Source organism: Homo sapiens, chromosome 2 (genome assembly GCF_000001405.40).
Source record: "Homo sapiens chromosome 2, GRCh38.p14 Primary Assembly".
Classification (NCBI taxonomy): domain Eukaryota; kingdom Metazoa; phylum Chordata; class Mammalia; order Primates; family Hominidae; genus Homo; species Homo sapiens.
Genome location: NC_000002.12, coordinates 134,454,881 through 134,467,650, shown reverse-complemented (window position 1 = coordinate 134,467,650; position 12,770 = coordinate 134,454,881). Strand labels below are relative to the sequence as shown.

At 51.7% G+C, this 12,770-nt stretch overlaps 1 protein-coding gene across 1 annotated transcript in view, besides 3 other annotated features; it reads left to right on the top strand.

Annotated features, from left to right (window-relative positions):
- The window catches only part of TMEM163 (transmembrane protein 163), a 263,242-nt gene extending 251,350 nt beyond the window's left edge, over positions 1 to 11,892 (top strand). The window contains exons 6-8 of the mRNA NM_030923.5: positions 1,426 to 1,537; positions 9,478 to 9,619; positions 10,875 to 11,892. Of these exons, the coding sequence (NP_112185.1) occupies positions 1,426 to 1,537; positions 9,478 to 9,619; positions 10,875 to 10,935 (315 nt within the window). The 3' untranslated portion in view covers positions 10,936 to 11,892. The remainder of the gene's footprint in view (positions 1 to 1,425; positions 1,538 to 9,477; positions 9,620 to 10,874) is intronic.
- Positions 1,139 to 1,433: a silencer, noted in NCBI's record as "tiled region #15464; HepG2 Repressive DNase unmatched - State 12:CtcfO". NCBI's record gives its function as "represses a minimal TATA promoter and a strong SV40 promoter by Sharpr-MPRA in HepG2 cells {active_cell/tissue: HepG2}" and the evidence as "EXISTENCE:reporter gene assay evidence [ECO:0000049][PMID:27701403]".
- Positions 6,410 to 6,909: an enhancer, noted in NCBI's record as "H3K4me1 hESC enhancer chr2:135218313-135218812 (GRCh37/hg19 assembly coordinates)". NCBI's record gives its function as "activates a minimal SCP1, AML or CMV promoter by ChIP-STARR-seq in primed H9 embryonic stem cells {active_cell/tissue: H9 hESC(primed)}" and the evidence as "EXISTENCE:reporter gene assay evidence [ECO:0000049][PMID:30033119]".
- Positions 6,910 to 7,411: an enhancer, noted in NCBI's record as "H3K4me1 hESC enhancer chr2:135217811-135218312 (GRCh37/hg19 assembly coordinates)". NCBI's record gives its function as "activates a minimal SCP1, AML or CMV promoter by ChIP-STARR-seq in primed H9 embryonic stem cells {active_cell/tissue: H9 hESC(primed)}" and the evidence as "EXISTENCE:reporter gene assay evidence [ECO:0000049][PMID:30033119]".

The window sequence follows — 12,770 nt, the reverse complement described above, 5'->3', positions numbered from 1 at the left end:
CATCTCCTTAAGTCTCCAGTGTGTGACAGTCTCTCGGTCGTTCCTCATGTTTCATGACCTTGACACGTGAGGAGTCGGGTATTTTGTAGACGGTCCCTCCGTTTGGGTTTGTTTGATGTTGTTTCGCAGTTAAAATGAGGTTATGGATTTGGGGATGGAACACCGTGGAGGTAAAGTGCCCTTCTTGTCACATCGTATCAGGGGCCACATGTTACCAACACAACTTAATAATGGTGATGTGAACCTTGATCACTTGGCTAAGGTGGTGTCTGCTTGGTTTCTCCATTGGTAAGCTACTGTTTTTCCCTTTCTCTACTCTGTGTTAGATTTGAGTCTGTTAAGTCCAGCCCAAACTCAAGGGCAGGGGATGGGGTGGGGAGATTAATCTCCAACTCTTGGAGGATGGAGTAGCAAAGAATTTGTGAACATAGGTTGCCAAAACCACCACCGTCATTGACCCATGTTTTCGGAGAGATGCTTTGACCCTATACAGATACCCTGTTTCCAGTGAAGTTGCTTTTCAAATGGCTTTGTTCAGTTTTGAACATGATGCAGGCTGTCTCCCTCTTCCCAGGTTCTGACATGAGGTTTGTGAATTTGATTAATAAAATGCATAGGGAGAAGCCGATTTCTTTGCCTATTTATGATGCTGCATCAGAGTTCTGCTGGCCGTTGCATTTTAATATTGGGAAATCTGAAGGCTGTGTCTCTTGGGGGTGACACATGGGAGCTTGAAGCAGAAGAGCTGGATGGGCCCCAATGTCAGGAGAATAGTGGTGCTTACTTATTGCATATGGGACTCACTTGTTTGCTTGCGAAGGTAAGGTAACAACTTAGAGGAAGTGTTAAGATAACGTCAGTAGCAGACGATATTTTTAGATGCTATTTTCTCTACCCATGTCTATGAACTCTCAATTGCCCTGTGTGAATTTAAGGGGAAAAAATATGGTTTTAAGTAGCTCTGGCCCTAACTGACCCTGTGGCAAATTCAGTTGGCTCTGTTGAAGGATTGTTAGGCTGGTGGTGTGTTTACGTGTTCCAAAATTCTCAGTCAACTGCTTGGTGAGTTATCTGTGGAAAATTCTATATAGAAGATGCTGTTCTTAGCATTCTGACCAACTCTGTTATTGATCTATGACTGCTACTCATTTTAGCAGAATAGTGGGGAGGTCAATCTCCTACAGGAAAATAAATACGTAATGGTTTTTTAAGTAAATATAAATTGGGATTATCTGTTTTTGAGCATCTTTTCCAATTCCTGGTGACACATAACTGAGGTGTGAAAGCATGCAGTATACCCCCACCTGGTGGCAGCACACCTGACTATTTGTACTTGGAACAAGGCTGATCTGTAAGGCAAGTGGGTTGCAGATGATCTGCTCCAGCAGGAGGTGAACTGTTGAAATCTGGAACTTTCTCTTGCAGGACGATTTCCTGTTCAGTGTCTCCATTTTAAGTGGGATTCTTTGCAGCATCCTGGCCGTGTTGAAGTTCATGCTGGGGAAGGTTCTGACCAGTAGAGCACTCATAACAGATGGTGAGTAAGGCCAGGGTGCCTAATCTCTGGGGGCTGGGCTCACAGTGGAGGAAGATGCTGTTTGGGTCTCTTTTAGTTGTTTCCCTTGCTGGAGAACTCAATAATTTGGAATCCATTTCTCACTCTCCTACCCGCCTCAAGTTGTTTAATGATTCTCAGAGCTCCCATATCAGGGCAGATATCCTGTGCCCTGGGAATTCAATAAACTCTTCATAAATCACCTCCACTCTGACCTCCTAGCAGGGAGGCTTGGGGCTCCCCAGCCTCTTAATCATGAAGCACAAAGGGCTTCCTGGAGTCTTGGGTTTTATGTGCATTGCTCCCCATAAAAAGTAAATGCCTTTTCTGGATTCTATAAATGTTTCCTTTGTGAATTCTCCATGCTTGTTTTTCCTTCCAGCTAGTGGGACACTCACCTGGGAGTTCAGGTTGCAGTTACCAGGTGTCTGCTCTGGGGAAATGACCTGTGTGTTTTCTGCTTAGAATCTCAACCAGCTAGAAAAGTCTGTGTGTGTCCCTGTGGGACAGGAGGAACTTTCTTTATGACCTTTGGGATGACAGAGAGGGGTGTGTGAGTGCAGGAAAAGTACGTTTCAGGCCCCAGACTCGCTGATATCACTGATGTGTAGACAAGAAACTTGACAAGCAGTGCCTCCTGGACATGTTGCTTTGATTTATTCCTGGGCATGTGCGGAGCCCAGGGGTCACGTCAAAGGGCAAAAGTCTTGTGGGTTGGTGGGTTGGTGGGTGCATCTGCACAAAATAGAGCAGAAATATGTGGATTCTTTTTTAAAAAGTTTATATATATGTGTCTGTATATGTATATATGTACACACAAACATGTTTTATGTTATACACACGTGTGTGTGTATGTGTGTGTGTATATATATATATTTTTGTTTTGTTTTTGTTTTTTTTTTTTTTAAAGATGCGGACTCACCATGTTGTTGCCCAGGCTGGTCTCAAACTCCTGAGCTCAGGCAGTCCTCCCACCTCGGCCTCCCAAAGTGCTGGGATTACAGGTGTGAGCCACCGTGCCCGGGTAGATTATTTTTTTAAGAAATACTTCCTTGTCCAAAACTCTCAAGGCTCTTTTGTGTGTGAAGTGTGGAGTGCAGACATGCATGGTGACAGTGACAGTTGTGGGGCCCTTCTCACCCGCAGGACGGAGCATGGTGACATGGCATGGGCTCCTTGTCTTAGCCGATGTTGACCTGCTGGGTGCAGAGCTGAGCTTTGCACAGTGGGCAGGGACATGGGAAGCCAAAGTGACGTTTCCACCCTGGGACAGAGCTCTGGCCCAAGAATCCATCTGCAGAGGTGGTGGGACTGTCGACAGGTGGCGGGACTGTTGGCAGATGTGTCGGCAGTTCTAGGGGGTGAGGGTGGGGGTGTGGGCTGGTTGTCCTTGTTGGGGAGCCAGGAGTCCCTGTGCCCACCGCCTGCTCCCACTCCTCCTCCTGAGTCTGCAACACGGTCTCTTGGGAAGGCAAGAGGACGCCCCCAGCTTTTCACCCATGGCTACCCTCGGAAGAGCATCACCCGTGTGCATGGATGTGCGTGGGGTTCCTTTGAACAGGCCTGAAGATGTTGGGGGTTACAGGACCTGACATCCTGACTGCAAAATCCCAGACCCCAGATACTCATCAGTTGACCACTACCAGGCTGGCAGCACTGAAATTGCTTGGGGTGTTTGCTGAAAACAGATTCCTGGGCCCACCCCGAAGATTCTGACTCCAGGGGATTGAATTGGGGCCCGGGAACTGATGTTTTATGCCAGCCCCCCAAGACTATGTGGTGCACACTGAAGTTTGGTGCTGCCCCTGTGCCTGCCCCAGGGGCCAAGTACAGCATCTCCCCAGGGAAGGTGGCCCCTGCTGTGTCCAGCACTCCTGCATGCCATGTGACCAGCAGCTCAGAGTCCTTCCTAAAGTCGCCCCGACCAGCAGGGCCTGCTGTTGGTTTCTGCCCTTGTGAGATGCCACCTTGCTCCTGGGGTTGAGGAAGCCTTTAGTTCATATGAAACCAAACCTACTTAGATGGTAAAAGCAGTTTAAAATGGCGAGAGGATTGACTACCTTGACTGCCTGGGTTAAGACTGCCTCTTTCCTGTGCAGCTTTCAGCAGTGCTAAGGCCCCTCATGTGCAACAGGCAGGCAGGACCCCCTTCCTCAAGCTCCAGATGAAGCCCTGGGTTGCTGCCTCCTGCCAGGCTGGGAGAAGTCGGGATCCTGCTGCCGTCAGGTCCTGGGTTTGATGCTGTTGGAGCGTGAAGTTGCAGTAACACCGGATCAGCGGGGTTTTACACTCTGTTAGGTGCCGCACTGGCTGGGGAAACCAGCTCCAAAGCTGAGCCTCCCTTTCCAGTTTCTGCCTTATTGCTGTGAGGCATCCTGCCCTGATCCCCAAAACGTGGTTGCAACTCAGCCAAGCAACCCCTCTGCTATAAATACACAGGTCTTTCTAGCACAGCCGGATCTAAAGAACTTGCAGTTCAGCCTCCTGAGAATGACACAGCATACTGAGGCCACAGCCTGGGCTTCTGGGGTCTCCGTCACCCACTGAGACATCGTAGAATTATAGCCAGCTTGCGTCAAGTTGACCCTAATACATTGTCCTGCAAGACCCAGGTTCATCTGCATGGCCTTCCTTGTCTGGGGCAGACCTGGGATTTGGGGTAGGGAGTTCACCCACTGGGATTTTTGTAGTCTGCTGCTTTGTGGTCTGCAAAATCAAATGCCTTCCTTGGCCATGGAGCCCTTCTTTCCTTAGGGATGAGTGTAGCCAGGACACCAGGTGGGTTCTGTGCTGAGAGCCGAGGGATGAGTGGGCCCTGGCCAGGGGTTTGGGTTGGGACCTCCAGCTGCCTTAGAGGTCCCTTTACGTGGTTCTGAGGGCCACACTCTGGCCCAGCCCTGTAGGGATGCAGAGTGGAGGCCTGGCTGGCCTCGGCTTCCCTCAGCTGTGTGTGCTGCCCACCTGCCCTGCAATGTCTCCTCACCTGGAACAGGAGGGAAGGGCAGGAGCCCTTGGGGTAGGCAGTGTGGGTCTGAACAGCTTTGTGGGCTCCCAGTGGTGAGTCCATAGCAGGCAGCTCCTCGGCTGGTTCCCAGGCAGGCTGTCAAGTCCCTCTGGCTCGCAGATCTGTGGGATCTTTATCCACCTCACTGACCGCAGTTGGGGTACAGGAAACCTCATTCGCTGGACACCTGGCTGTGGATCCAGCAGTCAGAGCCCCAGCAAGAGTCCCTGGCCCCACCCTGCCCATGACCATGGGACTTGACCCCCCTCCTTGGAACACTGGCCCTGTGACTTGGTTGGTGCTGTTTCCTAACATAGATATTCCAGATACACGATCTCGGTCTAGGCTTCACTGTTCTGGCTTTCATCATGTTATGTGGTGTACAGAGGAGAACAACAATAAGGCTGCTTTTCTAATGAAACAACTTCTGACTCTGGTTTGCGCACATGAATCCATCACACACGTAAGCAGTATTTCCACCATACTTGTGAACCAGGGAGGAGGTCATTACAAAGAAAAGTGGGGAGTTTGGGTGAAAACAGTCTCATAATCAGGTGAAGAGTGGGGAAGAGCCGTCCTTCAGGCGGAGGGAGTCCGAGTGAGGAAGGGGCATGGGGGAGTCCCTTCCTTACTTGGAAGTGGGGGGACAGAGCATGGCAGGGCTTGAGGTCTAGGGTGGGATTTGGAATATTTTGCCAAATGTTGAAACAGGTAGGGTGACATGAGTGCTGTTTTCTGCAGAGCCCTCTGGTCATTGGTGGTGGGGAGCAGAGTCGAGGGAGCTGGGAGCTGAGCAGAGGGAGGCCTGGGGAGTGGAGGGGATGGCAGCTCGGATAGGGTGAAGGAGAGGGTATGGGAAGTGGTAGGGTAGGTATAGAATGGTCAGCGTGGGGATGAATCGGCTGAGTGGGTTTAATGAGAGAGAGAGACAGAGAGCAGAGGCAATGCCCCCCGCCCCCGAGCCTGTTCCCAGGGGGCCCTGTGCTCTGTGGCCCTTCGATCCCCTGCTAGGTGGGTGTGTTGCCGGCAAAACATGCAGCAGTAATTACAGCCTCCTGCTAATTGTACTATCTGGGATCTGGGCTTCTTACATTCATTGATTAGCAGAACTAGGGAGCGATCTATAATTATCTTCTCTGTTCTTTCCTCACTTTGGAAGGTGGGCGGGCAGGATGGGCTCAGGGAGCCATGGCTGTCATGAACGTTGGGGGTTCCCTGAGGCTGCCAGCCAGGCTGTGGCAGAGCCAAGCATCCCCTTTGTGGGAGAGGGCCGGCTTCCCCTGTCAACTGGGTCCCAACCCGGAGCCAGGCTGAAGTGGGCCAGGCTGATGCTGCCAGCTCACTTGTCGCTGGGGTGTCCTTACAGCTGGGAGGCAGATCTTCAGGGAAAGGGACAGCAGGGTGTGGCCGATGGAGATGATGGGGAAATTCCAGACTTCCCCACTTCACCCTGTGCGGTGCAGTGAATCTGGTCTGATCTGGTTTGTGGCTTTGGATGTGTTGTCATCATGGGTTTGTTGCTATTGGGACTGGGCTGAAGCTTGCTTTGTACTAGGGTAATGTGATTTTGTACAACAAACACACACTACAAATCAGAGGAAGAGCATGAGAGAGCACTGGGGGAGCGCTCTGGACGAGGGGCACAGCTTCAGTCCTACAGGAACAGCTGGGGCAAATCTAGAAGCCCCTCTGAAACAGGAGCCTGCTGTTTTCTCCTGCTCATATCCAGTTCTCAAATACCCCATCTATGATGATCTTTCAAGCACACAAGAAACTTTTAAATTAGAATATTCTGCATACAATGAATGTTTTTAACTACACAGATCCTGATCCAGTTGGCAAAGCCAGACTGGTGGAGCTGTAATCAGGATGGCCTCAGCCATCATTTTGTGCCATTGTATGCTCCTAAACTGATAACATTTCTGTGTTAGAGCGGATCTGTGGTTGCAACTGTGGGGACAGGGCCAAGCTCGTGGGGCTGGCACTGCAGAGGGGAGTGACGGCAGGGCCTGCCTGCTGGGCTGGGGGCTCAGGGCTCTTCATGTGGAATGACGGATTGGGAAGGCCCTGACATTTGGAGCAAAGTGGCAGGTGGCCACTGACTCGGTCCCTAGTCCCTGTGTGCTTGATCCAGCATCCTCAGGCAGACTCTCAAGAAGTGAAGCTGAAATGAGTCAGGCTCTGTCATCACAAAAGGTGAGCCGAGCCAGGCAAGGCAGAGTCTCCTCCTAGAAGAAGCAGCAAACATGTGCCCCTGCCACCAGCCTCTCAGCTGTGGGGTGTCGGGGAACACCTGGTGGACCTGCTGTCAGGAATAGCAAGCTGGGCCGGCCTTGGTGCTGGCTGGCAGAGCGGGTGACTTGGTGGAGCTGAGCAGACATCTAGTGGCTGTCTGGGGAACCTCACGCTTTTGCCTCTTTTCTGAGCAGCACCTGGCTTGGGCTTGCTTCTCCTGGGGTGACTGTCTGCGGGAGCCAGGCAGGGGTGGCGCTCAGGCTGGGCCCATGCCTGCCTGCCTACTTCCTCCTTCGTGTGGTCACTTGTTAATGCAGCGGTCATTTGCACCCCTGATGAATGCCAGGCCCTGTCCTGGGACTTCGAATACTGCAAGGAGAGACAAAGTTCCTGTCCTTAAGCTTAGGTTTCCAGTGAGAGGAGGGGGGCGGTTAAAATGGCAAAGCTCGCCTGTTAGCTGGAGGCAGGAGGGAGTGGTGGGTGGAGGGGAGGAAGTTTAGGGGCTGAGGGCTGAGGACAGGGCTGGGAGGGAGGCCCTGGGTGATGGTGACAAGCCCAGTGGCCCTGAGGGGAGGGCAGGATGGCTGTTGCAGGGTTGTGTGGCTGGATGTGAGGGGTCTGGTGGGATTTGAGCCCGTGACGGGGGCTTTCCTGCGGGAGAGTCTGGCTGCTGCTCACCGACAGAGGGTCCCTCTGGCTGTGGCGGGGTACAGGGAGGGCCACAGGTGGCCAGGACAGAGCAGGGATCAGCGGGGAGAGTGAGAATGAATTTGGGGGGGGGTAACATCTGGCAAGGGGCTCGAGGGGCAGGTTGGTGGTGTAAGGGAAGATGGGCTCCTAGAATCTTGGCCTCTGCAGCTGGTGGCCCCATCTACGGAGCATGCAGCGGAGGGCGAGGTGGCGCTCAGGGCTTTGTCATGGCTGTGGTCAGTCTGAGATGCTTCCATGAGGAGCCTGTGCCTGAGGTCAAAGGTCAGGACAAAAGCTGGGAATTGAGGGGAGCAGGGCTCATGGATTGGCAGAGGGCCAGCTCAGAGGACAGAGCCTGGGACACTCAGGTGGGGATGCAGGGGAGGACCCAGCAAAGGGGACAGGAGGAGCCTGGGGAGGGGGGTGTGGGGCTAGGGATTGACCCCCACCAAAAGGGGGCCTGTCACCACTGCAGGTAGCAGGATGAGGATGACTTTGACTTTGGGAAGGGCTGGGGGAGGAGGGAACCCGGGCAGAAGGGGGGTGTGAGTGTGGAGGCAGCAGGCAGACTCTTCTGCGGGTTTTGTGAAGGCCAGTAGCAGATGGGGGAGGCGTGGGGTGGAAGAAGAGTTCACTGGGGATGGGAAGGTGGGTTAATCCCAGTAGGAGCAATCCAATCCAATCTGGGAAGGAGGGAGGGAGGAACATCGCAAGAACCAGCCCTTGTTCCTGTTACAGGAACAGTTACAGGTGGGTGGTGGATGTGGTGTGGGGAATATGAGGTATCCTCGACCAAACCTCGGTGTCCTGAGCACAGGGGAGAGAAGGGCGTGCCACCAAGTGCGTTGTAGGGTCCAGGCCAGTCCCTGGGGTGCCCTTGCAGGTCCGCGGTTCATCTTCCATTCCTGTGAGCGGCCATTGCATCCCTGCCTTGGATCCTGAGTAGATTTGCTCAGGTCATCCCTGCCTGGCAATCTTCCTCTGCCCCAGGGGAAGCCAGGCCTGGCGTGGGAGGTTACGGGCCTGCACAAACCTACCAGCAGGGCCTCCTTGGGCAGCGTGGACCTGGAGCTTCTCTTGGGGCCACCAGTGTGTTGGGGCAGGGGAGGAGCTGGTGTCCTTCGCGGGGAGACCCTAGAAGCTACCTTAAGCCATTCCCTTCCCTTCCCATGTGGCCTTTGACAGCTCTGGTAAAGTAGAAGTATCACATGTAAGCTGGGAGCCCCAGTGGGCTGCTGTGTGAAAGGAGATGGCAGTCACTATCTAGTAGCTCCAGTTCTGTTTTTATGGCCATTTCTCCAACCATGTAGCCAATACTTTGCAAAAAACTTAGCATAATAGACTTTACATTTCTCTTCTGGAGGGAAAGGAAAAAACCTCAGGTTACTTAGAGGAGACTCGGGAGGGAAAGGATGCAGGTTGGGATAGAATGCCCTTCTCAATCTGGATAACCTCCATCAATGTATTTAACCTCATTCTTAGTTTTCTCATCGGAAAGCAGGGATGATGATGATAATGTGACGTCACACGATTGAGAAAGGTTATAGGTAACCACACGTCCTGAACACCCAACTCGGAATCTGGCCCAGCAGACACTCAGATATGAGTCCCCAAGTATTTGAATGTCTACTGTGAGCCTGGAACTGTCCTGGGGACTGTGGACTCAACAGAAAACCACACCCCTGCCTCTAGGAGGTTTGCGTTCTAGCGGGCACGGGCGAGACCAGCTATAAACCACATATGGCGTCAGTTCCCAGAAGAGAAATAAAGCAGGTACAGAATGATGGTGGGGGTGACGGCTCTATTCTGGGAGGTATCTGGTGACATTTGAGCAGAGACTTGATGGGCCCAGGTGGTGGCTATCACTCGTGAGAGCTTTGGGCATCATTCCTCCCAGCACATGCTCCAGTTACGTGGAGGCAGGACTGGCATTTGGGTGATTTTCTTGGATTGCTTGGCACTGCCATCTAGCCTCTCTCCACTTCCTTTGCAGGGTTTAACTCCCTCGTGGGTGGCGTGATGGGCTTCTCCATTCTTCTGAGCGCGGAAGTGTTCAAGCATGACTCGGCGGTCTGGTACCTGGACGGCAGCATAGGCGTTCTGATCGGCCTCACCATATTTGCCTATGGGGTCAAGTAGGTTCTTGTGCTTTCCTGTTTGCTTTCCTGGCAGCTAGGAGTGTCCCTTTTCCACCGCCTTCCCCAGTCAGGAAATGACAGGCTTCTGAAGGTCATATTTTGTACCTGTGCCCCTCCTGAGCCTGACCAGTGTCAGGTGACTGGAAAAGCACCCAGCAGGGGTCAGATATCCTTGGGGCTGGCACAGAAGTGAGGCAGGGACAAGAGGTATCAGGCCTTTAAGCCACAAAGGCACTCCTTGATTTCCATCTGATGCCTTTAGGACCCTTCGTGTCCTGACATCTATGCTCCTTCCTCTCTGACAGTCTTCATGATGCCCCAGGGAAGCACCTTTGCGTGGTTTCCTCACAAGTGGAGCCCCTCCTGCCACAAATGGGGGATGCAACAGTGTGCTGGCCAGAGGCCGCATCCCTAGCCTTAGAGAACTTCTTGCAAAAGGGGACTAGTCAGTGCAGAAAGGCCGTGCTGGCATCACTGACATGGACTTCAGCACCCAGGCTGGAGCTGGCCTTTCAGAGAACCATTTCTAAAGGGTGCTCTGCTTTTAAATGTTAAAATGCTTCCATTCTCAAGGAAAGGTAGGATGGCTATCATCAAAAAGAGGGACAACTGCCAGCGTCAGTGAGGACGTGGCGAAAGTGGAACCCTCATCCATGGCTGTGGGAATGGACGATGGTGCTGCCATGGACGCAGAGTTACCATTCGCCCCAGCACTTCCAGTCCTTGGTATACACTGCGGGAGGATGGAAACAAACCTCCACACTGAAAGTTGTCTGTGAAATTCACAGCAGAGTTATTCACAATAGGCAAAACGCAGAAGCAACACAATTGTCCATTAACAGATGAATGGATAAATGTGGTAGATCTGTGCAGTGGACACTTATTCAGCCCCCAAAAAGGAATGAAGTGCTAATACTCGCTCCAACATAGATGGACCTCAAATATTATGAAGGAAGTCACAAAAGGCCACGTTATGTGATTTTGTTTATATAAAATATCAATAGGCAAATCCATAGAGGCCAGAAGGAGGGTACTTCTCGTCAGGCGTGGGGAGGATGGGGAGTGAATGGTACAGTGGACATGGGGTTTCTGAGATAACACAAATGGATGAATATACTAAAAACCACCGAGCCACATAGGGTGAATTTTATGGTATGTGAATTATCTCAGGAAAAAAAAAATGAAAATACGCTTCCCCAAGCTCTTCAGCCCCATGCCATGGAGGTGACCTTGTCTGTCTTCGTCTTTGCAGACTCCTCATCGACATGGTGCCGAGGGTGAGGCAGACACGTCACTACGAGATGTTTGAGTGAAGGGGGCCAGCATCCGCATGAGACCATCGAGATGAGGAGTTTCCACATAGGCAAAGGGTGCCAATATTTAACTGAACATCTGGTTTCTTTTTGGAAGTTTTCTTTCACATGGTTTGTCATTACAAGACAAGGTCTGCCCAGCCAGGTGGATCTACCTTGCCCCCATCACCTGCCGCCCCCATCAAACATGTTGGGACAATGCCCATAGGAATGGACCTCCTTCCCCGTCTCCAGCTGGGACTGGCGTTTTTTAGTCTCTGGAGTATGATGGTTCTCATGGGTAGGATGAGATCTTTGGCAGAAAGGTCTTCGGTGGTGCTCTGAGCCTGCGCTGCATAGGACTGAGCAGACCCACCTCCTCCAGCTTGGGTGGCCCTGCCACTCCTGGTTCCAAGTCTCTCCTTTCCTGGCAGGTCTTAAGGGAAGATTGTACCCCTCACCCTTTACATACCCAGAATCATCAGTATGTCACTTCCTAATTTCTATCAGTGTATCTCATTATTTCATACTGTTTTACTAATCCTAAGTCTAAACAGATTTGCTCAAAAGGAGACCATTCTATTTTTTAAAGTACTTAGTGATACACGTATAAGCTTTGCATGGACGAATTAAATAAGCACATTGACCTTTTCTTGTACATTCAGAACCTGAACATCCATGTGAAAACTGGGTCCATTTTTGAGAGATGTGAAACTACAGTTTATTTGTAATAAATAAATATAATCTATCCGTATATGCATATATCTATATGCTGTGTTAAGTGGTAATGGGTACATTACAGTCTGTGAGAGATGGATCGCTCCCTCTGTAAGGAACAAGACGTTCTCAGCTGATGTCACGGTAGGTTTAGATTCTGTAGAGTGTTCCCCAACCCGCACCGTTCTGTACCTCTCACACCACTGCTTGCCCGGGCAGTAGTGGCTGACCAATAAAGACCTTTACCTGTTTTGTATGGCATGGGAAGGCAATCTTTGGCAGTCGTCACCGTGCGGCACCAACACATGGGGAGACCCGTCATGGGCAGGTTTTCCGCTGTGGCTGAAGGATGACCTGGGAGGGGAAGCTTGTGCCTAGGGGTGCTGAACGTGGAGACCCTGAAGGACTGTGGTGCAGGCCGCCCTCTCTGACCACTCAGGTAGGGGCCACACACTCACCTGGCACCGAGGGACAGCTGCTCCATGGCCTTGCTGCAGCTTTGGGGCCCTGTCTCCCCTCCACGCCAGTGAAGGGAGTTTGTTCTGTGAGGTCATGGAAACTTGGTCCAGTACCATGCTTTCAGGTTGCTTCCCCAGCAGTACTGAGGAATACGTCAAGGGATGTTAATATGTAACAACATGAACTAAAGAAAAAAAAGATTGGGAAGTGTAGGAGCCTGTAGGTTTCTCTTCTGCTGGTTTTCTCGTTGTGTCTAATATACATCATGGAAGCTCAGGGAGGGGAAGTGACACTGGTAGCGTTGCCCAAATGTAGGCACTCGGCTTTCCCTTGTGTTCTAACATGCTCTGTGAACTGTGTGGGGTGTCCATTTTGGGCCGTAGCCAGGAGGCCCGCCAGCTTCAGAGAGGCCATGCAGATGAGGGCCAGTGTCATCTGCAGACAAACTGTTGGGTGGGGCATGGACTAACCTTCCCTGTCTCCAGGGCATTTGCCTAACCAGCTGCTCATGGCTCACTGCTTCCTGGCTCAAAAGCTGCTCTTGAAAGGGAGAAATCTATTCTAGGTCCAATGGTCGCTGGTGCTCAGCCCCTTATAGAGCTATTTTTATTAGCTCATTCTTAAAGATTTTTCTCAAAATCTAGCAGTTCACTTTCTAATTGAATTTCCTTCTAGGGGAA